The sequence below is a fragment of the Homo sapiens genome, chromosome 2 (assembly GCF_000001405.40).
Source record: "Homo sapiens chromosome 2, GRCh38.p14 Primary Assembly".
In the NCBI taxonomy this organism is placed as follows: domain Eukaryota; kingdom Metazoa; phylum Chordata; class Mammalia; order Primates; family Hominidae; genus Homo; species Homo sapiens.
Window position 1 is genome coordinate 112,047,113 of NC_000002.12, and position 24,877 is coordinate 112,071,989.

A 24,877-nucleotide genomic window follows, 5' to 3' on the forward strand; every position below is an offset into this window, starting at 1 on the left:
CAGAGTCTCACTCTGTCGCCCAGGTTGGAGTGCAATGGCACAATCTTGGCTCACTGCAACCTCCACCTCCCAGGTTCAAGCAATTCTCCTGCCTAAGCCTCCTGAGTAGCTGGGATTATAAGCACGTGCCATTACACCTGGCTAATTTTTGTATTTTTAGTAGAGACGGGGTTTCCCCATGTTGGCCAGGCTGGTCTTGAACTCCTGGCCTCAAGTGATCTGCCTGCCTTGGCCTCCCAAAGTGCTGGGATAACAGGCATGAGCCACTGCGCCCAGCCTCCCTCTTGCATTTTGAAGCAAATCCCAGACATCATGTAAGCTCATCTGTGAATATTTCAGGGTGAGTTTCTGTAGGGGTCCCTGCCAGTGCTCCACCTGTGTCTATCCTGCCTTTTCATTTCAGTGTGCCTGAGCTGACTTCTAGCTGTCATGATCTGCATCTCTTTGCTTGAAGGCTTTCCTTAAAGCTCAGAAAAGCCACTCTGCCCTGCGCATAGTGGGCTGGAACCGCCAGTGTGATTGGTGCTCTCCCCGGCGTAGCCCTCCACATCCCAGCTCCCTCACCCTTGTGTGAGATAATTCTATGGTGTTTGTCTCACACCTTTCCCTAAGTTTCTCTGTGGGATTGCGTTCCATTCGCCCACAGTGGTAGCTGACTTGATAATGTCCCCTTTATGTCTGCATTCCTTTCTCTGTCACATTTGCTCTTTCCCTGGATTTGTTTGCTAGTGCTGCCAAAACAAAGTACCAGAAGATAGGTTGATTTAGGCAGTAGAAATGTATTTTCTCACAGTTCTGGAGGCCAGAAGTCCTAGATCAAGGTGTCATTAGGGTTGGTTTCCTCTCTCCTGGGCTTGTAGATGGCTGTTTTCTCCCTGTATCTCCACATGGCCCTCCCCTCTGCATATTTCTGTGTCCTAATCTCCTCTTCTTGTAAGGATGCCAGTCTCATTGGATTAGGGCCTACCCTAATGACCTCATTTTACCGTAATAACCTCTTTAAAGGCCTTATCTCTGAATACACATTTTGAGGTACTGGAGGTTAGGACTCCAACATAAGAACTTGGGAGGTGGAGGGGACAGGGTTCAGCCCATAATACTCCCCTACTGGCATTTACTCTACCTCTCAAATCAGCTACTGCCACTCAAGCCCTTATTTCAGGATCTACTTCTAGGAAAATCCAAATGAAGGAAACCTCTAAAAGATAAGTCCTCTTTTGAAAAAAGTAACCACATTTCCCCAAAAGCACTCCTCATATCCACACTTAAGGACTTTCCCACCGTGCTGTTTACATGCATATCCCCTCCGGTGACGGCAAGGACTACCTTTTATGGATCTTCTTATGTAGGCAGTTCCTCAGATGTAGGAGATACCAAACGCTGCTTGATTTGCTTAACTAAATGCCATGAGTTCTAATCTTCCTTGGAAACTTGGTTATAGCCAAATAGAAAAAAATACTAACTAACAAATAAAATTGCTCCTTAATAATGCAGAAATCCCTGCTGCCTTCATTACTAGCTGTTTGTGCAATACCCAGCACTCAGTAAGGCACATAGTGTCTTCCAAATAAATTAAAGTTTTTATGTCTTAAATTAGGGCTACTCACTGTGATGTGGGATGTTGATAGTGGGGAGAGGTTGTGGGGGGACAGGGAGTATATGGGTACTGTCTGTACTTTTCTGCACAATTTTGCTGTGAACCTAAAACTGCTTGAAAAATAAAGTTTATTAATTTGAAAATAAATATATTAGAAATATAGTGTCACCAATTAAAGTTAGAAACGGAAAACAAGACTAGATTTAAAAGACCTTTAGGAAAGACCCAATTTTATATAAAATATCATCAATCTGCTAGTGTCACCTACTGGTGAAAAGTGGCTACTGCTGTGGAAACAATTCTATCCATTTCTTAGTGCTCTTGAATTTTGATGGTTATATAACAAGTGTTCTGTAGGAAGTATTAGTAAACAATAAAAATTCAACAAAATAGAAAAAGTATTAATATTTATATGATATATAAGATGTGGGTGGCAAGCCATCCAGGTACCGAGGCAAGAGACCGAGGGCACAAGCTGTTCCAGTGTAATAAAATATATAAAACAACAAGAGTTATACTAGATCTAGATCATAGACATGATTATATATGAATATCATTAATCATTAGTTTGTAGCAATTACTCTTTATTCCAATATTATAATAATCCTCGCTCTATAATCATAATCTAGGAAAAACCAGGCCATACAGAGATAGGAGCTGAGGGGACACAGTGAGGAGTGACCAGAAGACAAGAGTGCGAGCCTTCTGTTATGCCCAGACAGGGCCACCAGAGGGCTCCTTGGTCTAGCAGTGACACCAGCGTCTGGGAAGACGCCTGTTGCCAGGCGGACCGTGGTCTAGTGGTAGCGTAAGTGTCAAGGAAAAACACCCACTACTTAGCAGACCGGGAAAGGGAGTCTCCCTTTCTCCAGGGGAGTTTAGAGAAGACTCTACTCCTCCACCTCTTGTGGAGGGCCTGACATCAGTCAGGCCCGCCCGCAGTTATCCAGAGGCCTAACCGTCTCCCTGTGATGCCGTGCTTCAGTGGTCACGCTCCTAGTCCGCGTTCATGTTCCATCCTGTACACCTGGCTCTGCCTTTTAGATAACAGTAGCAAAATTAGTGAACATACTAAAAGTCTCTGATATGCAGAAATAACGGCATAAGCTGTCTCTCTCGCCCTCTCTCTCTCTGCCATGGCTGCCAGGCAGGCAAGGGCCCCCCGTCCAGTGGACACGTGACCCACGTGACCTTACCTATCATTGGAGATGACTCACACTCTTTACCCTGCCCCTTTTGCTTTATATCCAATAAATAACAGCGCAGCCAGACATTCGGGGCCACTACCAGTCTCCGCGACTTGGTGGTAGTGGTCCCCTGGGCCCAGCTGCCTTTTCTTTTATCTCTTTGTCTTGTGTCTTTATTTCTACACTCTCTCATCTCCACACACGGGGAGAGACCCACTGACCCTGTGGGGCTGGTCCCTACAATTTATGTGATATATAAGTTGCACATGAAGAGGAAATATCAGAAAAACAACCTTTATGTTTACATATCCATAAGCCTCAACTCAAAACTAAAATCAGTTTTGATTTAGGGAAGAAAAAGTTAAATGAAGGCAAATGGAAGTATGTGGAAAAGGTGCTTTATATGATACTCTCAAAATTTCTCATACAATCCAATATTTTAATTAAAAGCAATGAATCAAATGTACAGCTTTTTATGCAAAAATAGCATCTATTCATTTTTGGTGTTAGCCATACCCCAAAGTCTCTCATTAATAGCACTGAATTCAGGATCTCATGATACTTCGTGTTCTCAAATGCCTTTTCATTTCCCTGCACAGCAACCTCTGAACTGTGATTCAGTTTTATAACAGCTGCAATAAACTCCACTAGAGGAAGGACTGGTCTATTGATGGGGGCCTTTCAGTTCTAGCTTACAGTCAACTATTGCCAAATTTTTCCTTATTTGTTCTTTGGACAATTTTTGTTTGCTCCAGGATTTAATTTTTCAAATTAAAAATTATATGGTAGCTGTTTTGTTTGTTTGTTTGTTTGTTTTTCTAAATCCCATAAGACTCAAAAGAGAATGAGTAAAGCACTCTGGCAATCAGTTGACTATCAATCTATTTTTACCAAGTAATCATAAATTTTCCATCTGCTGTGGAGGACACCAAGTTGGATCCCTATATGGGATGTGAGAGGTGTGAGATACTCCCTTCCTTCTTCCTTCCTCCTCCTCCTTCTTAGAAAGGCATATAAATTTTATTAACATATATACAGGGAGAACCACAGAGTGATTACCCCCTTCTTTCTTAGTTTTGGAAATTTTTCTTTTGAAATGATTTCAGACTCAAAGAAAAGTTGCAAGAAGAATACAAAGAACTCCTGCATACTCTTCATTCAAATTGGTTTTATTAGATTATCTTGATAGATAGATAGAGATGGTATACATGTTATACATATATAAAGCTTATATATATAATATATAAAAAGTTTTTTGTAACCACCAAAGAATAAGTTCAGATGTGGTGCCCGCTTACCTTTAAATACTTCAGTGTGCTTTTCTCTAGAAAGAGGACCTTCTCTTAGTGTGATAACGGTGCCATTTTCACATTCAGGAAATTCACATTGACAATACCATTTTCTTAAAGTCCTTGTTCAAATTTCACCAATTGTCTAAAGAATTTTAATAGCAAAAACAATTTTTCTGGTGTAGGCTCCAGACTGCTAGGCCTATATGTCACATTTAGTTATCATGTCTCTTGGGTCTCCTTTAACCTCTAACTTCCTCAGCTGTTTCAAGAACCTGGCATATATATATATATATATATATATATATATATATATATATATATTTTTTTTTTTTTTTTTTTTTTGGTAAATTATACCAGCTAGTTACTTTGTAGAATGTCTTTCAATTTGGGTTGTCTGATGTTTCCTTGTGATTAGATTTAAGTATGTGAATTTTTTCCTCATTTCCTTGAATAGCTTGATTAGATGCATTTTTGCATTTTGGGCATGCATTTTTGGCAGGAATATCACAGAAGTCATGCTGTTTCTTTTCAGTTAATCAAATCATGATACATATCATGTCTGTTTGTCCCAATCCTTGTGGGATTAACCTTGATCATTAAGTTGGTGTCTGCCAGGTATCTCCACTGTATAATTACTGTTTTTCTCTTTGTAATTAATAAGTAATTTTTGGAAGATATTTCCTCATGAAGCTTTTGCCAACTAACTTTAGAATAGAATTGATGATTCTTTCTGAATCAATTTTAATTGTGATAGTTGCCAAATGGTGATATTTTAAATTTGTTATTCCTTCTGCATTTATTAGTTTTCCAACTGTAAGAAAGTGATTTTCTTTCCTATTTATGTAATCATTTATTTATTTATGTTAGTATAGACTCATGGATTCCTATTTGAGTCAATGAGTTACAATCCACTACTATCATTTTGGTGACCAAATTGTCCCAGATCTGGTAAGTGGAAGGGAGCTCCTTCAAACTGGCTCCTATGCCTTTTTGACGTGTCCTCATAATTTTTTACCCACTTCCTTACTTTCTGGCAAAACAAGATTCTCAAGTTCATCATGAATTTCTCTATTCCATTCCTGGGCTCAGCCACTTCTCCAAGGATCCCTGGTTTATTTTAGTGGAGAATGATATTTATAAAGCAAGATCTGGTGCTAGATGTACCTATTGCTACTGGGGTGTCGCTGCTTCTAGGTCCTCCTGGGAATCAGTGCAAGAAAATATAAACACACACACACACACACATATCTACATCTATTTATAAAACTAAATTTTAAAAATGAGTTCACACTGATATCATCAGTTGCAAGCCAGCATTATAGTTCATTCTAACCTTCCTCATTTTCCTTTTTTTTTTTTCCTTTTCTTGCTTTCTTTCTCTTTCTTTCTTTTTTTTGTTTGTGACAGGTTCTGACTCTGTCACACAGGCTGGAGTGCAGGGCTCACTGCAACTTTCGCCTCCCAGGCCCAAGTGATCCTCCCGCCTCAGCTTCTTTGAGTAGCCAGAACCACAGGCACGCCACCACACCTGGCTAATTTTTGTATTTCGTGTAGAGACAGGATTTCGCCATGTTGTCCAGGCTGGTCTCAAACTCCTGAGCTCAAACTATCCACCCGCCTTGACCTCCCAAAGTGCTGGGATTACAGGCGTGCCCAGCCACTGTAAACATCTTACGACCATGGGTGGTGACTGGCAAGAAATGTACCTTGCTAGTTTTAAGATGGAGTTATTTTTAAAATGGTGTCACCCTGGCTCTCCTATGCTCCTGTTTCCCAATTTGACAACCAACACGATCTTTCTGATCAGCTCATCCTTACTTAAAAACCATCATTGGGGCCGGGCGCGGTGGCTCACGCCTGTAATCCCAGCACTTTGGGAGGCCGAGGCAGGCGGATCATGAGGTCAAGAGATCGAGACCATCCTGGCTAACACGGTGAAACCCAGTCTCTACTAAAAAATATAAAAAAATTAGCCTGGCGTGGTGGCTGGCGCCTGTAATCCCAGCTACTCAGGAGGCTGAGGCAGGAGAATGGCGTGAACCAGGAAAGCGGAGCTTGCAGTGAGCCGAGTTCGCGCCAGTGCACTCCAGCCTGGGCGACAGAGCGCGACTCAGTCTCAAAAACAAAACAAAACAAAAAATCATTGCCTCTCCAGTGTTCTTAACTAAAGGTGCCATCTGCCTAACTTAATTTAGGAATGCCTGTATGTTTTGGTACTGTTTAAATATTCCCAGCTTTGCCACTCTCCGTCTCACACCAACATCCAGTCATCTGGAAGATCTTTCCATTCCTCCAGTTCTCTCGTAACTAAAACGATTTCAGACTTACCCCTCACTCCCACAGGTAACTCGCCCTTAACTCTTCTTGTAGAACTTAAATTTCATGTATTGTTCTCTCCTTCTGTCCCTCACTTACTTCCTAAATCTCTGGTGGATGTTCCCCTGTGGTCCTGTTACAGTTATTCTGACCTAAACAGAACTGATCACGTTGCTTACTGGGAAGATGCACATGCAATCTCTAGTGTATAGTAGGTCCTCAATAATTACTGGTGACTGGTAAAGCAGCCAAGGCCTTTGGACTATAAATCGATCTTATTCTACGTTAATAACAATATTAGCACAGGATTCTATTCCCTTGCTGGATATTATTTACATTTGATAATGAATGAACTAATTCTCTTTGACAGCAAAACATGTATTCAGCTTACAGCCGAAAATGCAAGGGAAGGTACACAATAAGACGGATCCAAGCCCTGACCCCTCTGAGCTTTAAGCCAGTCAAGTAACTACTTGTTCTGAAAAGTATTAACTGTCCTATTAACGTTAACCTTCACAACACAATGCCTTGTGTTCAACTGGCCTTGGCCTCAAAGCACTTTCCTGGCACATTCCCTGAATTTAAAGAACGGTTTCCATACAGCTGAGAGGGTCGAGGCAGGGGTAAGTGTAGAAGACGCAAGAAATGGAGACACCCTGGGAACAGAACTCTAGACTGCACTCCAACCGTAGCACTTACTAGGCATTCGACTCCAGGACCTTGACACTCGCGCTCGCTGGCGGCGAGCCCCGCCTCCCCACTGCGCCTCATCTCCCAGACAGGCCCCGCCTCCCCACTCAGGCCCCGCCTCCCCACTCAGGCCCGTCTCCTCACTCAGGCCACGCCTCCCCGCCCAGTCCCGTCTCCGTACTAGGGCTTGCTCCAAGCCCTGCTTCCTCGCCCAACCTGGCCTCCCCACTACGGCCTAACCCCAAGCCCTTCTCGTCCAGCCCCGTCTCCACACTACTGCCTGGTCCTCAACTCCGCCTCCCCACTCCGACCCCATCTCCCTGACCAGCCCCGCCTTTACGCTCAGGCTCCGCCTCCCCGCCGGGTCTTGCCTCCAAATCCCGGCCCCGCCTCCACGCGGCCCCGCCTCCACGCGGCCCCGCCTCCACGCTCGGCCTGGCCCCAAGCTCTTCCTTCCTGGGGCACTCTGTCTCCGCACTCCGGCCTGGTCCCGAGCCCCGCCCCGCCTCCACACGGCCCCGCCACCACACGGCCCCGCCTCCACGCGGCCCCGCCTCCACGCTCGGCCTGGCCCCAAGCTCTTCCTTCCTGGGGCACTCTGTCTCCGCACTCCGGCCTGGTCCCGAGCCCCGCCCCGCCTCCACACGGCCCCGCCTCCACACGGCCCCGCCTCCACACGGCCCCGCCTCCACACGGCCCCGCCTCCACACGGCCCCGCCTCCACACGGCCCCGCCTCCACACGGCCCCGCCTCCACACGGCCCCGCCTCCACACGGCCCCGCCTCCACACGGCCCCGCCTCCACGCTCGGCCTGGCCCCAAGCTCTTCCTTCCTGGGGCACCCTGCCTCCGCACTCCGCCCTGGTCCCGAGCCCCGCCCCGCCTCCACAGTCCCGAGCCCGCCTCCAACCCTGCCCTGTCCCCACACCCAGCTTGGCCCCGAGCCACGCCTCCCACCCCGCCCCCACACTCCCGAGCCCCGCCTCGTCTCCACACTCCGGCGGCGCCTCCCTACCCGGCCCCGCCTCCGCGCTCGGGCTGCCAGCCCTCCCTTGCACGTTCCGGCTCCTCTTCTATCTTCACGCCCACGCTAGGCCCTGAGCCCAGCCTCCACGTCTCGCCGCCAACTCCACATCCTGGCTCCTATCTCTGCCTTCCAGGCATCTCCCAGCTGCACGCTCGGGCCCGGCTCAGAGCCCTAAGCCCTGCCTCCCGGTCCTGGCCGGGTTTCCCAGAACTGCACGGCGCCTCTCCGCCCAGGCCCAAGCGCGAGCCCCTCCTCCACACCCGAGTCCGAGCCCCGCGTCCCGGATTCGGACCCGCCTGCCTGGGGCGGTGCTGCACCAGGTGCGGGTGTGGCAGGCGTCTCGGAGCGCCAGGTGCAGCTTCCTGGTCAAGATGGTCGCCGCCTGCCGCTCGGTAGCCGGGCTCCTGCCACGCCGCCGCCGCTGCTTTCCCGCCCGGGCCCCGCTGCTGCGCGTCGCCCTCTGCCTCCTGTGCTGGACCCCGGCGGCTGTGCGCGCGGTCCCTGAGCTCGGGCTCTGGTTAGAGACAGTCAACGACGTAAGTGGAGTGTCGGGACCCAGGCGTGGCACGTCTCGGGCCGTCAGGGCCGTCGTGCGGCTTCGCTTGACCCCGGGCTTGTTCACCCTGCCTCTGCCGGGTCAGCACCGGGTCCCCTGATACCCTCCCTGAGCCTTTTGTCTGTTACAGCCGGGGAGCGGGGAGCGGCCCCTCCTCCGGCCCGACCTGGGCTGCAGGCAAGAGCCGTCAGGATTGCGCATGGGACGGCCCTCGGGTCCGAGCGCTCGGACTGTTACTGAGGGTCACCATGCCCGACGCCGTGGCCCTCATTCTGCTCTGACATGTTTTGGCTGGATCAGGAATCTCTCGGCACATCTAGCAGCATCTTTGGGATTCGACTCTTCCTGTCCGGATGCAGCCACAGTGGGCCACACCCCTGAGGCCGCAGGGAGGACTTGCCAGCGCTTCAGTTTCTGCATAAACTTAGAAAGCGGGTCTGCCGCTTCCTTAAAAAAAAAAAAGAAAGAAAAAATTTAAATGAGGGGGAAACGTGCAGTAGTCACCCTACCTCTATTTCTCTCTTCTTGAGTTCCTGAATTTCTCTACAGTTCCTGTCACAGTTCCGGGAGAGAGAGTGTGTGTGTAGGTGGGGCGGGACTTGTGATTAGGGAGTGCTTGAAAGGCGAATCTGGAGGCATGAGTGGGTGGAAACTCTTCTTTCCAAGGCAGGCTATTAGAAAACTTGGCGTCTGGTAATTAGAGGAGATGATGTGGGAGAGATGCAGGGGCAGAATTATGGAAAGTCTTGCAAAAGAGAGACAGGAAGTCTGGAAGAGGCATTATCTCCGGCTTCTCTGGGGTCAGATGACTCATCCAGCACTGTTTGGGATGGGTATTTTCCACATGCATGAAATAATGTCCAGGTTCTAAAGATGAGACTTATATTTTGATTTCCTTAACCAGAAAAAGAAAGTAGTTCCAAAGACTACAAATACTTCCCACAACACAAAAGCTACTCAGAGGAACACGCTGGGTATCTTTCTGGATCTTTTAAGACCTAGTGCAGCCATTTCCTCCAGGATTGGATTCTTCTGGGTTGGTGACCTAATTTGTGTGCCAGTTATAGTCTGCACATCTCCATTATTTAATTTCCTGAACGGGAAAAAGTAGAACTCAGTGAACTACTCTCATGGCTTCCTGCTGCTACGATAGTGAATAGTCAATATAACTATATTGGAAGTGAATCAGTTGCATGCATATTGTTGGATTACTTGAACATATCTGTATAGATCTTTGCTAAGTGTACTGTGAACATACCTGCAAAGATCTTTGCCAAGTGTACTTCTTCCTGCATGAGGAAGAGAAGTTTGCTCCTTGAGTGCTGCATGACCTTTAGGCTAATTTTACTCCTGTGTGACCCTGGGCCGCCAGAAGTCTAAAAGCCCTTCTCTCCCAAGAGTGGACTTATATTTTCCACATTTCAGGTTGTCAGAAACAGGAAAGGAGAGTGGGGCTTTCTTTCATTTGTACTGCAAATCTATCAGGAAATTTTGTTTCTTTGTTTTTGTTTGTTTGAGACAGAGTCTTGTTCTGTTACCTAGGCTGGAGTGCAGTGGCACAGTCATATGGCTCACTGCAGCCTCAAACTCCTGGGCTCAAGCAATCCTCTAGTCTCAGTCTCCTGCGTAGCGAAGACTATAGGTACATGCCACACACCAGTTAATTTTTAAATTTTTTTGTAGAGATAGGGGTCTCACTATATTGTCAAGGCTGGTCTTTAACTGCTGGCCTCAAGCCATCCTCCTGCCTCAGCCTCCCAAAGTATTGGGATTACAGGCATGAGCCACTACACCTGGCCAAGAAATGGTTCTTTTGAGTGTACAAGGGAGCAAATGGTTGAAGCACCACTGTGTGTCATATGTTAGACTGGTCATTGCTGTTGCAAAGATGAATTTTAGCCACAGCCCCTTCTCCCAAGACGTTCACACAATAATACGGATAACAGATTTATGAGTAGATAGTCATATACACTGTGATATACTTGGGATATTACTGGAGCACCAAGGGGGTCACCTAACCCTGCTTCCTGGAGGAGAGACCTGCCTCAGTCTTTTTTTTTTTTTTTTTGAGACGAAGTTTCGCTTTTGCTGCCCAGGCTGGAGTGCAGTGGCACAATCTTGGCTCACTGCAACTTCCACCTCCCGGGTTCAGGGGATTCTCCTGCCTCAGCCTCCTGAGTAGCTGGGATTACAGGTGTGTGCCACCACGCCTGGCTAATTTTTTATTTTTAGTACAGGCAGGGTTTTTCCATGTTGATCAGGCTGGTCTCGAACTCCTGACCTCAGGTGATCCTCCCGCCTCAGCCTCCCAAAGTTCTGGGATTACGGGCGTGAGCCACCGCACTCGGCCTCAGTCTTAAAAGATGGATAAGTACTACCTTGATGAAGAAGAGGAGGGGAACAGAGCAGCAGCAGTGCAGGAAATTATTGGTGTTCCTGCTACATCAAGTTCTGGCAGGGTTGTTAGAGGGGACTCAGGTCACCACAAGCTTTCCATGCCTGAGCTTGGCCTTGAGCCTGAGGCCAGAGGCCTCAAACTCAAGGACCTGTGTTGGCCAAGGCAAGTCATATCATTAAGCACAGTGAGCTAAGTTCAGGACTGGAGGGGGTAGTGAGGAATGTTGTGGACTACAGATTGCATGCCCATTCTGAAGAGGGCAGCTGCCATTTGGCTTCAGCTTACTCTGCATACATTCTAGCAGAGTGGGCACAGAATTGCCACAGCTCGTTTTTTTAAGTGAGACTGGAATCCATCTTTTTATTATGTCAACTAAAGTTTTAAAAAGGCCTCTTGTGGGCCCAGTATATCCCATTTTTAGGTTGGATTAGACCTCCAGACTCCCAGTAGCTACTTTAGGATGTGAATGAGGGAGCCATTGAAAGATCTTAGACATAATGCTAATCACTATGGCTGCTGTCTAAAGATGAATTATAGGATCAGATCTGGAGGTAGAAGTACCAGTTAAGCTATTGCAGAAATTAGGCAGGAAATGCAGAGGGCCTAAATTAGGGCAGTGGTGACAGAGATGGAGAGGAAGAACTAAATTTGATAAATGTTTGTGAGATAAAGTAGGCATGCCTTGGGGATTGGGTGATGGAAGTGGGGAACTGGAAGGAGCCATGGCTTGGGTGACTGTAGATGGTACCACCTCCAGCCAAGGTGGACAATGTAGGAAAAGTTGGTGAGCAGAGAGGAGTGTGTCTGGTTTAAAACAGGTTTGTCTGTTGGACATCTGTCAGTGGACATGTCCTTTAGGCAGTTGGGTATTTGGATCTGGAGCTCAAAGGAAGGATCCAAGTTGGGAATTTTATTGTTGTTGTTGAAACTCTGTTGGGGAAGGGAAGAGGTTACCACTTGTCCTATCAGTGTTTTTTGTTTTGTTTTGTTTTGTTTTTAATGCCTAATCATTTGTACATTTAACACAGTCTCTAACTGCAGGATTTTTATTCCTGAGAAGACATTAAACAACTAATCAATTATTTGATTTAAATTGTGGAAAGGTTGTGAAGAAGAAAGGGTGCTAGGGATTATATAAGGGAGGGCCTGGCCGGATATGGGCCACAGTGGAAGAATTCCTGCAGAACGGGCTTTTGAGCTGGGCTTTGAAGGGTGAGAAGGAGCCAACTAGATGAACAAAGGGTGAAAGGAAGGATTTTAAAGTAAATTTTTCAGGTTGACCACTAATCCTGAGGGCAGGAAAGAATATCATGCTTTTCTGGAACTGGAAAGTTGAGAGGTGGGCAGGACTTGATTATTCACGTCCTATAGGCTACAGTAAGAATTTCGGTCTGTTGTAATTGCATTGGTAAACCATAACGACTTGGAGCTGGGAGAGGGGGACAGTTCCTTATCAAAAGTACATTCAAATTGACGCCAGGAGAGCAACATGCAAATGCAGTCAGTTCATGTCACGTCTGAGCAGCACTAATCCTGCAATGGCAGCATCTTTTACCTCTTATGTGTCACTGGCCCTAACTGAGTCTGCTAGAGGCCAGAGCCCTCCTGATCCTCAGGGTAACTGCAGGAAGTAGAACCATGACAAGGTTTTAAGCAAGTTAGTGATGTGATCAGATTTACGTTAAAAAAATACTCTTGTCAGAGAGAGGAGTGCAAGGCTTAGAACTCTATATGTTGTGGGGTAAAACAGTTGCAAAAAAAACTTTCTAACAAGATCTTCCTGTGTTTGTTTTTCATTTTAGAAATCAGGACCTTTGATATTTAGGAAAACTATGTTTAACTCTACAGATATCAAGTTATCTGGTAAGTATAATAAAACAATAAAATACTAGACTGGGCGCAATGGCTCACGCCTGTAATCCCGGCACTTTGGGAGGCCGAGGCAGGTGGATCACAAGGTCGGGAGTTCAGGACGAGCCTGGCCAACATAGTGAAACCCCGTCTCTACTAAAAATACAAAAAAAGTTAGCTGGGCATGGTGGTGGGCACCTGTAGTCCCAGCTACTTGGGAGGCTGAGGCAGGAGAATCACTTGAACCCGGGAGGCAGAGCTTGCAGTGAGCCGAGATCGCGCCACTGCACTCCAGCCTGGGCGACACAGTGAGACTCTGTCTCAAAAACAAACAAACAAGAATAATGAAATACTAATATATATATAAACAACATAATATAAACAAATACATTCATGTAAATGAATATAACATATATAATAAACTAAGCAAATGTTTTGTTTTTAAGTAGTTCTAACATTTTAAGGTTTTGTTTTGTTTCAGTCAGCACTTGGTTATTTACAAGAATGGATTTTTCTTTTTTTTTTTCTTGAGACAGAGTCTTTCTCTGTCACCCAGGCTGGAGTGCAGTGGCAAGATCTCGGATGACTGCAACCTCCGCCTCTCAGGTTCAAGTGATTCTCCTGCCTCAGCCTCCCTAGTAGCTGAGATTACAGGCGAACGCCACCACGCCCAGCTAATTTTTGTATTTTTAGTAAAGATGGGGTTTCACCATGTTGGCCAGGCTGGCCTCCAACTCTTGACCCCAGGTGATCCACCCACCTCAGCCTCCCAAAGTGCTGGGATTACAGGCATGAGCCACTGTGCATGGCCCACAAGAATGGATTTTTCTGATCTTCTTTCAGAAAATGTAATGTGAATCATTTTATGAAAATTATAATTAAAGTCTAATAGACGAACAAAAAAAATTTGTTTTTTGTGAAATTTAACTTTGAGTCTCAGATTTTTAAAACTAGATAAATTGCTTTTACGAATATATGAAATGTCATGATTGTGATAAACCCTTTATGGCCTTGAAAATTTTCAAAACGTACATATCCTCGTAAGAAGTAAAAATTGCTGGACAACATTTTAATTAGAGTTTTAAGGTTGATAAAAGTTAAAATATTCATTAGGTAGGGCCTGTCTTTTCTGTGTCAATACTGAGATACCAGAACTACCAAGGTTTTTTAAGAATTTCACTGGATTTTCATTGGATCGTATTCATTGTGGCCCAATTCCTCTTATTGTTTCCAGTAACCTAACTAGGAAAATTGGTTGCCAGAGTTAAAGTCTCAGGATAAGGAGCAGTTTTTTGCTGGGTAGAGCAAACTGGCTTCTACAGGATCCAAAGTCATGCCTCTTTCCTTTCACACAACAGATCATGCTCTGCTCATTTGTTGGGGGCAATTCTTCCTTTTATGGGTCTTTCCTGAGGGAAGTCAGGCTAGCCAGCAGCTAGAAAGCAGAGGTGGTTTCAAGCAGCTCTGTAATATCAATCATCAGTTGTGATAAGAGCTTGGTAAGAGGAAATTGAAGTCCAAGGTGAGAGAGAAAAAAATTTTGGCATCTGTTTATTTAATGAATTCATGTCTCAAAGTCTAGACAAAGGATTTAAAAGAATCTCAGTCTGGTGCTGACAAAAAGTTATATGGAAAAAAAAGTAACGTCAGCCACTGAAACAGAATTTGATTTTTAAAAATCATTACAAATGCCTGAGATCAACATATGAGTAGACTACAATCAAGACGTTGTTATTAACTTATCTAAAGAAAGAATGGGACAGCATGAGGGATTTAAGAGCAAAAGCATAATAAAACTAGGGTTTAGTCAGGCAAATGCTGGTCATGTCCAACAGCATTGTTGGGGGAGAGGTTTTCTTGAACCATGACCACAGCTATGACATGGGGCTGGCAGTTGTGGATATAGCATCCACCTGAGCCTCCTTGGTCTGGTGCCATGCTCACCAAACCACCTTCTCATCCGTATTGGGCCTCCAGGGAGGCATGCTGAAGGGAAAGAGTTGATCATTACTAGTCCAGTTTACGGTTTCTGTTCATTGTAAGTGAGTAATTGAGTATTCTAATTTATACATCTACATGGTAATCATGAAAGTGAGTAATTGAGCATTCTAATGTACACATCTACCATTGGGAAAGGGTGAGATGAGAATCTGTGTTTTCACAGAGCCAGATTTTAGTGCTTGTTAAGCTAAGGACTGGTCCCTTGGATATATGTCGATGCTGTTTGGGAGATCAGATATCTGGCTTTTTTAAGGCAACCTCTCTTCTGCTGTCTCATTCAAGTCATGTGGAGCCTGTGCTAAAAAATATCTCAATGTAATTCACCATATTAACAGAATATAAGAAATGAACCATATGATCATCTCAAAGTATACAGAAAGAGCATTTGAAAAAAATTCAACACCCATTCATGATAGAAACTCAAAGAAAGTTAGAAATAGAAGGAAACTTCCTCAACCTGATAAAAGGCATCTATGAAAAATCTGTAGCAAACATCATACTGTCAGTTCTTCCCAGATTGATCTATAAGTTCAGTTTAATCCCAGCCAAAATCCAAGCAGGCTTTTTGTTTGTTTGGTCGGTGCATATTGTGAATTTCACATTTTTGAGTGCTGGAGGACGTTGTAGTCCTTTAACAACTTTGTTCTAGCAGACATTTAAGTTCCTTGTGGGTCAGTTTGATGCTTTCCAGTTTTCTTGTTAAGTTCTTTTAGGATGGTTCTGCAGTAGCCTTTTGTCTAGGGCAAACTTAACAGTGCTTCTGTGGTGTGGTCTTTCTGCTTGTCTTCCAAATACCTGGTATATTTACTGAGGCCTTTCCACTCTGGCTAGTGGAAACTCAAACAGTTCCCAACTCTGTGTGAGCTCTGAGAATTGTTGGGCTTGTTCCTATGCATGGGCAGGCTGCCCTTCAGCCAGAAACTCCAGGGGATCACTATGCAGATTTCTCTTTCTCTTTATGTAGCTTCCATCTCTTGGGTACTGTCCCCCAGAAAATCTACCAGCCTCAGTTTGTTGAACTTGAATCTCTGGTCTCAGTTTGGTTTCGCTCTTTGTCATTATCAGCCTTTGAGATGTCTCCCAGTGATCCTTGCTTCCTGTTATTCATGATCTTGTGTGGTCCTCTAACACATTTTATCAGAGTTGGTCTGAGTGACTGATAGAGCATGGTGGAAATAATGGCACATCCCTTCTGAGGCTAAGTTATAAAAGATACTGTGGCTGCATCTTTGCTCTCTCTAATCACTCACTCTGGGGTAAGCCAGCTGCCATGTCGTGAGGACGTTCCCAACAGAGCTCTCCTTAACTCCAGACTTAATGCTTTTCAGTCTGCCTATTTGTGTCACTCTCTTACCTGGATCATTCAAAAGAAAGGCCAAACTCCTCAGCAGGGTCTAAGACCTCATGAATTTTCCCCAGCACTCTTCTCCAGCTTCAACTCTTTCTCCTTTCCCCAGCCTGTGTTCTAAGCATAGCAGACTATTTTCAGGGGTCATACTCATGCTGTGCTTTCACTCACCCTGGGCATTTACATGTTTGGTCCACCCTTCTCTTCACCAGGCTAACTTCTGCTCTTCCTTCAAGTTACAGGTCTCCTCCTCCAGCAAGCTTACCCAGAACCCATTCTTCATGCTCTCCTGGGCTATGATAGGTGACCTGCTCAGTGCTCCCTTGACTATTCTCAGCCTCTGGGACTACTGAGAGTGCCTGTTTAGTTGTTAAAACTCACTCCTCCAGTACCTCTTAAGTCATAGACAGGCATTGTTCTTGTTTACCATCATAGCTCACAGGATGGCACACAGGATGGGGCTCACTCAGTATATTTTGAATGAATATGTGAGTGAGAAAAATGTTTGAGAGTGAAATAAGCAGTGACTTAGCATATCAGGCCACTCAGTTTATTTAATTTTAGACTTATACGTGAAATGAGCAGTATTACAGCAGCTTTTGGTTAACTGTAACAATTTAATGAATTTATCTGTCTCACTTTACAGTGACTTTTTGGAGAAATTAGCTAATGTTTTACTCATTGTTACATTAAAGTAGCCTATTTTTAATTGCATTCTCAAAACCTTAAGTTTATATTAGAGTGTATGTATTATTCATGTAAAACAAGACTTTCTTTTTCTAAACAGTTAAGTCATTCCATTGTTCTGGGCCTGTGAAGTTTACCATAGTGTGGCATTTGAAGTATCATACCTGTCACAATGAGCATTCTAATCTGGAAGTAAGTAAAACACAAGTTTTTAATGTATATAAAGCTATGAAGGAAAATTATGGGTATAAAGATTAGCTCATCAAGCGAGGAGGCTAGAAATAGAGATTACAGTTTTAGAAGTGCTACAGATTAATTTTGGGACTTATGGCAATAAACCAAGTTACATGCTGAGAATACTACGAGCTTTTAGTTGCCTTGTATGATATGAAAAATGTTAGTAAATGTTTAAATTCAGGCACGTAGGAGTCATTGATAAAGACGCATACATACAAATAAATGCTTAATTTGCAAAAGAAGTTTAAATATTTCACTTTTTAAAAAAATTATAGGGAAACTAGAACTGTATTGAGTACAAGTAGATTTAGTGAGCACAAGTAGATCGCAGAAAGAGGTGAGGAGAAGAAAGGAGGTATCTGGGGAAAGGCAGAGGATTCTGAGAGAGAAGGAGAAAGTGGCTGTGCTGAGCAAGGCTTTTCCTGCACCTGGCTGTGAAGCCTGGGTTTCTTCCTCCTGGGATGTGCACTGGGCTCTCAGCAAGGTGTTTCTCTTGATGATTCTCGTGATAGTTGCTTGGGATTGTTTCCTTTTCAGATTCTCTGTTACCTGTTTGGCTTCTACCTTGAATAATATATGGGTTTCCATATCTTTTTAAATTATATATGTATATATGTATATATCTATACATATACATATATGTGTACATATACCTATACATGTATATGCATGTAAATACATATGAGATCTCTCTCTGTCACCCAGGCTGGAGTGCAGTGGTGCGATCATGGCTCACTCCAGCCCTGAACTCCTGGACTCAAGTGACCCTCCTGGCAGGTTGTCTCAGGTAGCCTCCAGAGTTTCTGGGATTATAGATGTGAGCCATTATAGCTGGCTTTCTGTATTGTTATTAGTATTATATTTCTATTTGGATTGAACCATGCCATTTTCCTTGAACTGCCTTTTTGGCTTCATCTCTAAATATTTTACACCTTCACACTAAATACTTCAATGTAAATTTCCTAAGAACAGAGATATTCATTTATTTTTTTCACAGTATAATTATAGAATTCAAATTTAACACTGATAAAATGCTATTATATATAAACCTTATTAAAATTTTGCAACTGGGCAGGGTGGGTCACACCTGTAATTCCTGCGCTTTGGGAACCTGAGGCGAGAGGATCACTTAAGCCCAGGAGTTAAAGACCAGCCTGGGCAACAAGTGAGACCCTGTCTCTACAAAAAATTAAAAAATTAGCCAGACACAGTGGCATGTGCCTATAGTCCCAGCTGTTCGGGAGGTTTAGGCCGGAGGATCCCTTGAGCCCAGGAGTTTAAAGTTGCAATGTGCTGTGATTGCACCACTGCACTCCAGCCTGGGAGACAGTGAGACCTTGTCTTCAAAAAAAAAAAAAAAAAAAAAAAGTTCACCAGTGTCCCAATATTGTCTTTTAGAGCAGGCGCCCCCGCTCCCCCTGCACACACACTCCACACCCCATACCGGAACCAATTCAGGTTTGCATTTCATTTCCTTTCCTTGTTTTTGTTTTTAGTTCCTGATAATCTGGATTTCCCCCCTTTTTGGTGTGTCATGGCATTGATAGTTTTGAAGTGCACAGACCATTTATTTTTGCAAAATGCCCCTGAATTTGAATATTTCTGATGTTTATTCATGATCAGATTCAAGTTATACATTTTTGGCAGGAATACCACAGAATACTGATTTGTCTCATTTTTGGTGATGTTAATTTGATCAGTTGGTCAAGGACATATCTGCAAGATTTTTTCCATTCCAAAGTTACTACTTTTCTCTTTGTTATTAACAACAACTTGTGAGGAAAAACTTTTGAAACTATGTAAATATGTTGTGGTTTTCATCAAACCTTCAGCCACTTGTTTTAGCATCCTTTCATGATTCTTGCCTGATGAGTCAGTCATTACTGTGCTGATTGCTGAATGGTGATTTTCTAGTTCCATACTTTCTTCTTCCTTTGTTAGCATTCTACTATAAGGATGCACTCTCTCTACTCCCCTAATCAATCTGTCTTATCTGTCAGTCATCAGGTCGGACTTGTTGATTTTTACTTTGTTATATAGGTTATAATCTATTACTGTTTTTATATATTTTGCTCATATTGTCCCATATTTGGTCTGTGGGAGCCAACTCCACTTTTTTTGATGACTGGGAGCTGCCATTAAGGAGCCTGGTTCATTCATCCATTCAAGGATGCCAGGAACCTCAGGTAGTTGTGTAAATGAGCGTCTCCTCTGCACTCAGCTACCTTTGCTGTATCTTACTGTTTGCTTTCTCTTTTTTGTAGTTGAATGCTACTTTCTTTCTCTGTAAAATCTCTTACACATGGGATAAAATACAAGTAGCCCCAGAACAAAGTATGTTTTATTTCTCTGGGAACTATTTCATTGTAGTATCTTAGTCAGTTTTCTTATTGTAAGTGTGCTTGTGTTATGTATTACTGTATCTGAACACACTGGAATGGCTAAAAGGTTATGATTATCTCAATTATATTAAAATTATATTCGAAACAGTTTTTATTTGGTATTTTATTCTATTGCGTATTTCCAGGTATTTCAAACTGAATATACTTTTGGTATTATTTAGACATTAACTTTTATTTATATTCTAGGATAAGAAGTGTGGGAATAAATTATAACATAGAATTTTACCTTATATAGGAGCTGTTCCAAAAACATAAACTTAGTGTTGATGAAGACTTTTGTCATTATTTGAAGAATGACAACTGTTGGACAACAAAAAATGAAAACTTAGATTGCAACAGTGATTCACAGGTGTTTCCCTCTTTGAATGTGAGTATCTGACTTGCCATGTTAAAGTTTATTTTATTCCCAGTGAATACAAGTATCAACTGAAGTAATGTTTTATCGGAATTTTGATAAAGGTGGTATCTGACTTGCCATGTTAAAATAAAGTTTATTTTATTCCCACTGAATACAAGTATCAACTGAAGTACTGTTTTATCAGGATTTTGATAAAGGTGGTTAACTTGTAAATTTTTAGGTTTAGTTTGTTTGTGTGTATAGTAGTACATAATAAGTAAGATACGTGGCTGGGCGCGGTGGCTCACACCTGTAATCCCAGCACCTTGGGAGACTGAGGTGGGTGGATCACCTGTGGTCAGGAGTTTGAGACCAGCCTGGTGAAACCCCATCTCTACTAAAAATAAAAAAATTAGCCGGGTGTGGTGGCATGTGCCCGTAGTCCCAGCTACTCGGGTGGCTGAGGCATGAGAATTGCTTGAACTCGTGAGGCAGAGCTTGCAGTGAGCCATGATTGCGCCACTGCACTCCAGCCTGGGCGACAGAGCGAGACTCCGTCTCAAAAAAAAAGATAAGATACTGATACCATTGTTCCATTTCCTTGCAACTTATTTTGGCAATATCCTTGCAAGGTTCTTTTATATCTGCTACCTCCAATTTATCTCTCACTCTTCCTTCTGTCAACTGCAGTCAGACCTTTGCATCCATCATCCCATCAAAACAGCTCTAGTCAAAGTCACCAGTAACTTCCATGTTGTTAAATCCAATGGTCTGTTCCTCTTACCAAAAGTCTTGACTTACCAGCATTTGACACATGTCAACACTAACTCCTCCTTTATGCCTTTTCTCCCTACCAGTGTGGGAGCTTAGATTCTAAAATGATTAACAGCAGTTGGCTGGGCGTGGTGGCTCAGCCTGTAATCCCAGCACTTTGGGAGGATGAGGCAGGTGGATCACCTGAGGTCAGTAGTTCGAGACCAGCCTAGCCAACATGGTGAAACCCCATCTCTACTTAAAATACAAAAAATTAGCTGGGTGTGGTGGTACGCACCTGTAATCCCAGCCACTCAGGAGGTTGAGGCAGGAGAATCACTTGAACCCGGGAGGCAGAGGTTGCAGTGAGCCGAGATCACGCCATTGCACTCCAGACTGGGGGACAAGAGCGAGACTCCGTCTCAAAAAACAAAAACAAAAACAAAAATAAACCTAGCAGTCAGCCTTGGTTAGTGAGATTATGAGGCATTTAAATTTATTTTTTGTTCTTTTGTAAATTCTGAAGTGAAAGTCTTTAGTAAAAGTTTTAAAGGAGTTCTCTTTAAAATGTGTTGAAATATAATAAACACAGAAAAGTACACATCAGTGTACTCCTCAATGAATTTTTAAAAGGCCAGGCACAATGGCTCGCACCCATAATCTCAGCACTTTGGGAGGCCAAGGCGGGTGGATCATGAGGTCAGGAGATCGAGACCATCCTGGCTAACACAGTGAAACCTCGTCTCTACTAAAAATACAAAAAATTAGCCGAGCGTGGTGGCGGGCACCTGTAGTCCCAGCTACTTGGGAGGCTGAGGCAGGAGAATGGCGTGAACTCGGGAGGTGGAGCTTGCAGTGAGCCGAGATCATGCCGCTGCACTCCAGCCTGGGCAACAGAGTGAGACTCCGTCTCAAAAAAAACAGACAACAAAACTGAGCACAACCATGTAGACCCTGATGAATTATAGAACATTTTAGCACCTAGAACCCCCTTTTACTTCCTAACACTTTCCCTGCCAATGGCAACACTATCCTCATTAAGGAGAAGGTTTTATTTTTATTTTTTAACTTTTATTTTCAGGGGTACATGTGCAGGTTTGTTATATCGTAAACTCATGTAGGCCGGGCGCGGTGGCTCATGCCTGTAATCCCAGCACTTTGGGAGGCCGAGGCGGGTGGATCTTGAGGTCAGGAGATCGAGACCATCCTGGCTAACAAGGTGAAACCCCGTCTCTACTAAAAATACAAAAAATTAGCCGGGCGCGGTGGCGGGCGCCTGTAGTCCCAGCTACTCGGGAGGCTGAGGCAGGAGAATGGCGTGAACCCGGGAAGCGGAGCTTGCAGTGAGCCGAGATTGCGCCACTGCAGTCCGCAGTCTGGCCTGGGCGACAGAGCGAGACTCCGTCTCAAAAAAAAAAAAAAAAAAAAAAACTCATGTCACAGGAATTTGTTGTACGAATTATTTCCATGACACAGGTACTAAGTTTAGTACCCAATAGTCATTTTTTCTGCTCCTCTACCTCCTCCCAGCCTTCACCCTTAAGTAGGCCCCTCTTTGTGTCTGCTGTTCCCCTCTTTGTGTCCATTTTCTCATCATTTAGCTCCCACTTATAAGTGAGAACATGCGGTATTTGGTTTTCTGTTCCTGTGTTAGTTTGCTAAGGAAAATGGCTTCCAGCTCCATCCATGTCCCTGCAAAGGACACGATCTCCTTTTTTATGTCTGCATATTATTCCATGATGTATATGTACCACATTTTCTTTATCCAGTCTACCATTGATGGGAATTTAGGTTGATTCCATATCTTTGGCAACGTGAATGGTGCTGCAGTGAACATATGTGTGCATGTGTCTTTATGACAGAACGATTTATATCCCTTTGGGTATATAATATACCCAGTAATGGAAGTACTGTGTCAAACGGTAGTTCTCTTTTCAGCTCTTTGAGGAATTGCCACACCGCTTTCCACAATGGGTGAACCAATTTGTACTCCCACCAGCAGTGTATAAGCATTCCCTTTTCTCCACAACCTTGCCAGCATCTGTTATTTTTTGACTTTTTAATAATAGCCATTCTGACTGGTGTGAGATGGTATCTCATTGTGGTTTTGATTTGCATCTCTCTGATGATCAGTGATATTGAGCTTTTTAAAATATGCTTGTTGGCCATATGCATGTCTTCCTTTGAAAAATGTCTAGTCATGTCCTTTGCCCTCTTTTTAATTTTTTTTTGTTTTTTTTCTTGTAAATTTGTTTAAGTTCCTTATAGACACTGGACATTAGACCTTTGTCAGATGCATAGCTTGCAAATATTTTCTCTCATTCTGTAGGTTATCTTTTTATTCTGTTGATAGTTTCTTTTGCTGTGCAGAAACTCTTTAGTTTAATTAGATCCTATTTGTCAATTTTTGCTTTTGTTGCAATTGCTTTTTTGGCAACTTTGTCATGAAATCGTCACCTGTCCTATGTCCAGAATGGTATGGTCTAGGTTGTCTTCATAGGGTTTTCATAGTTTTAAGTTTTACATTTAACTCTTTAATCCATCTTGAGTTGATTTTTGTATATAATGTAAGCAAAGGGTCCAGTTTCAGTCTTCTGCATATGGCTAGCCAGTTATCCCAGCACCATTTATTGAATAGGGAGTCTTTTCCCCATTGTTTGTTTTTGTCAACTTTATTAAAGACCAAATTATTATACGTGTGCTCCGATATTTCTGGGCTCTCTATTCTGTTCCACTGGTCTATGTGTCTGTTTTTGTACCAGTACCATGCTGTTTTGGTTACTATAGCCCTGTGGTATAGTTTGAAGTCAGGTAGCATGATGCCTCCAGCTTTGTTCCTTTTGGTTAGGATTGCCTTGGCTATTCGGGCTCTCTTCTGGTTCCATATGAATTTTAAAATAGTTTTTTCTAGTTTTGTGAAGAATGTCATTGGTAGTTTGATAGGAATAGCATTGAATCTGTAAGTTGCTTTGGGCAGCAGGGCCATTTTAACAGTATTAATTCTTCATATCCATGAGCATGGAACATCTTTTTTTTTTTTCTTTTTTTTGAGATGGAGTCTTGCTCTGTCACCCAGGCTGGAGTGTAGTGGCGCAGTCTCCACTCACTGCAACCTCCACCTCCCGGGTTCATGCCATTCTCCTGCCTCAGCCTCCCAAGTAGCTGGGACTACAGACGCCCGCCACCATGCCCGGCTAATTTTTTGTATTTTTTTTTAGTAGAGATGGGGTTTCACTGTGTTAGCCAGGATGGTCTTGATCTCCTGACTTCATGATCCACCCGCCTCGGCCTCCAAAGTGCTGGGATTACAGGCATGAGCCACTGCGCCCGGCTGAGCATGGAACATCTTTCCATTTGTTTGTGTCATCTCTGATTTCTTTGAGCAGTGTTTTGTAATTCTCATTGTAGAGTTCATTCACCCCCTTGGTTAGCTGTATTCCTATGGGATTGCATTCATGATTTGGCTCTTGGCTTGGCTGTTGTTGGTGTACAGGTATGCTAGTGATTCCCCCCCCGCCCCCCCGCCGCCGCCACCACTGCCCACTCTGTCATCCAGGCTGGAGTGCAATGGCGCAGTCTCTGCTCACTGCAACCTCCGCCTCCTAGGTTCAAGCAATTCTCCTGCCTCAGCCTCCTGAGTAGCTGGGATTACAGGCACCTGTGACCATGCCCGGCTAATTTTTGAATTTTTTTTTTAGTAGAGACGGGGTTTCACCATGTTGGCCAGGCTGCTCTCAAACTCCTGACCTTAAGTGATCCTGCTGCCTTGGCCTCCCAAAGTGCTGGGATTACAGGAGTGAGCCACCACGCCCAGCCGCTAGTGATCTTTATATATTGATTTTGTATCCCAAAACTTTGCTGAAGTTGCTTATCAGCTCAAGGAGCTTTTGGGCAGAGAGTATGGGGTTTTCTAGATATATAATCATGTCGTCTGCACACAGGGATAGTTTGACTTCTTCTCTTCCTATTTGGGTGCCCTTTATTTCTTTCTCTTACTTGATTGCTCTGGCCAGGACTTCCAATACCATGTTAAATAGGAGTGATGAGAGAGGGCATTTTTGTCTTGTGCCGGATGTCAAGGGTAATGCTTCCAGCTTTTGCCCATTAAGTATGATGTTGGCTATGAGTTTGTCATAGGTGGCTCTTATTATTTTGAGATCTGTTCCCTCAATACCTAGTTTATTAGAGTTTTTAACATG

General features: G+C 43.9%; 1 protein-coding gene across 4 annotated transcripts in view, besides 5 other annotated features; it reads left to right on the forward strand.

Annotated features, from left to right (window-relative positions):
- Nucleotides 7,149–7,198: a silencer, noted in NCBI's record as "silent region_11868". NCBI's record gives its function as "represses an Ori minimal core promoter by ATAC-STARR-seq in GM12878 lymphoblastoid cells {active_cell/tissue: GM12878}" and the evidence as "EXISTENCE:reporter gene assay evidence [ECO:0000049][PMID:35858748]".
- Nucleotides 7,399–8,128: a silencer, noted in NCBI's record as "silent region_11869". NCBI's record gives its function as "represses an Ori minimal core promoter by ATAC-STARR-seq in GM12878 lymphoblastoid cells {active_cell/tissue: GM12878}" and the evidence as "EXISTENCE:reporter gene assay evidence [ECO:0000049][PMID:35858748]".
- TMEM87B (transmembrane protein 87B) overlaps nucleotides 8,157–24,877 on the forward strand; it is a 64,046-nt gene continuing 47,325 nt past the window's right edge. For all 4 annotated transcript variants that reach the window (XR_923049.2, NM_032824.3, NM_001329914.2 and 1 more), the window contains exons 1-4: nucleotides 8,157–8,644; nucleotides 12,865–12,925; nucleotides 17,050–17,141; nucleotides 19,824–19,955. Coding sequence is in view for 3 of the 4 variants with exons in the window: in NM_032824.3 (NP_116213.1) it covers nucleotides 8,480–8,644; nucleotides 12,865–12,925; nucleotides 17,050–17,141; nucleotides 19,824–19,955 (450 nt within the window). In the remaining variant the exon portion in view is untranslated. The remainder of the gene's footprint in view (nucleotides 8,645–12,864; nucleotides 12,926–17,049; nucleotides 17,142–19,823; nucleotides 19,956–24,877) is intronic.
- Nucleotides 8,859–8,928: an enhancer, noted in NCBI's record as "active region_16388". NCBI's record gives its function as "activates an Ori minimal core promoter by ATAC-STARR-seq in GM12878 lymphoblastoid cells {active_cell/tissue: GM12878}" and the evidence as "EXISTENCE:reporter gene assay evidence [ECO:0000049][PMID:35858748]".
- Nucleotides 8,959–9,298: an enhancer, noted in NCBI's record as "active region_16389". NCBI's record gives its function as "activates an Ori minimal core promoter by ATAC-STARR-seq in GM12878 lymphoblastoid cells {active_cell/tissue: GM12878}" and the evidence as "EXISTENCE:reporter gene assay evidence [ECO:0000049][PMID:35858748]".
- Nucleotides 13,462–13,676: a silencer, noted in NCBI's record as "fragment chr2:112818151-112818365 (GRCh37/hg19 assembly coordinates)". NCBI's record gives its function as "represses an EF-1alpha promoter that drives an FKBP-Casp9 reporter gene in an ReSE screen in phorbol 12-myristate 13-acetate-treated (for megakaryocytic differentiation) K562 erythroleukemia cells {active_cell/tissue: K562(+PMA)}" and the evidence as "EXISTENCE:reporter gene assay evidence [ECO:0000049][PMID:32094911]".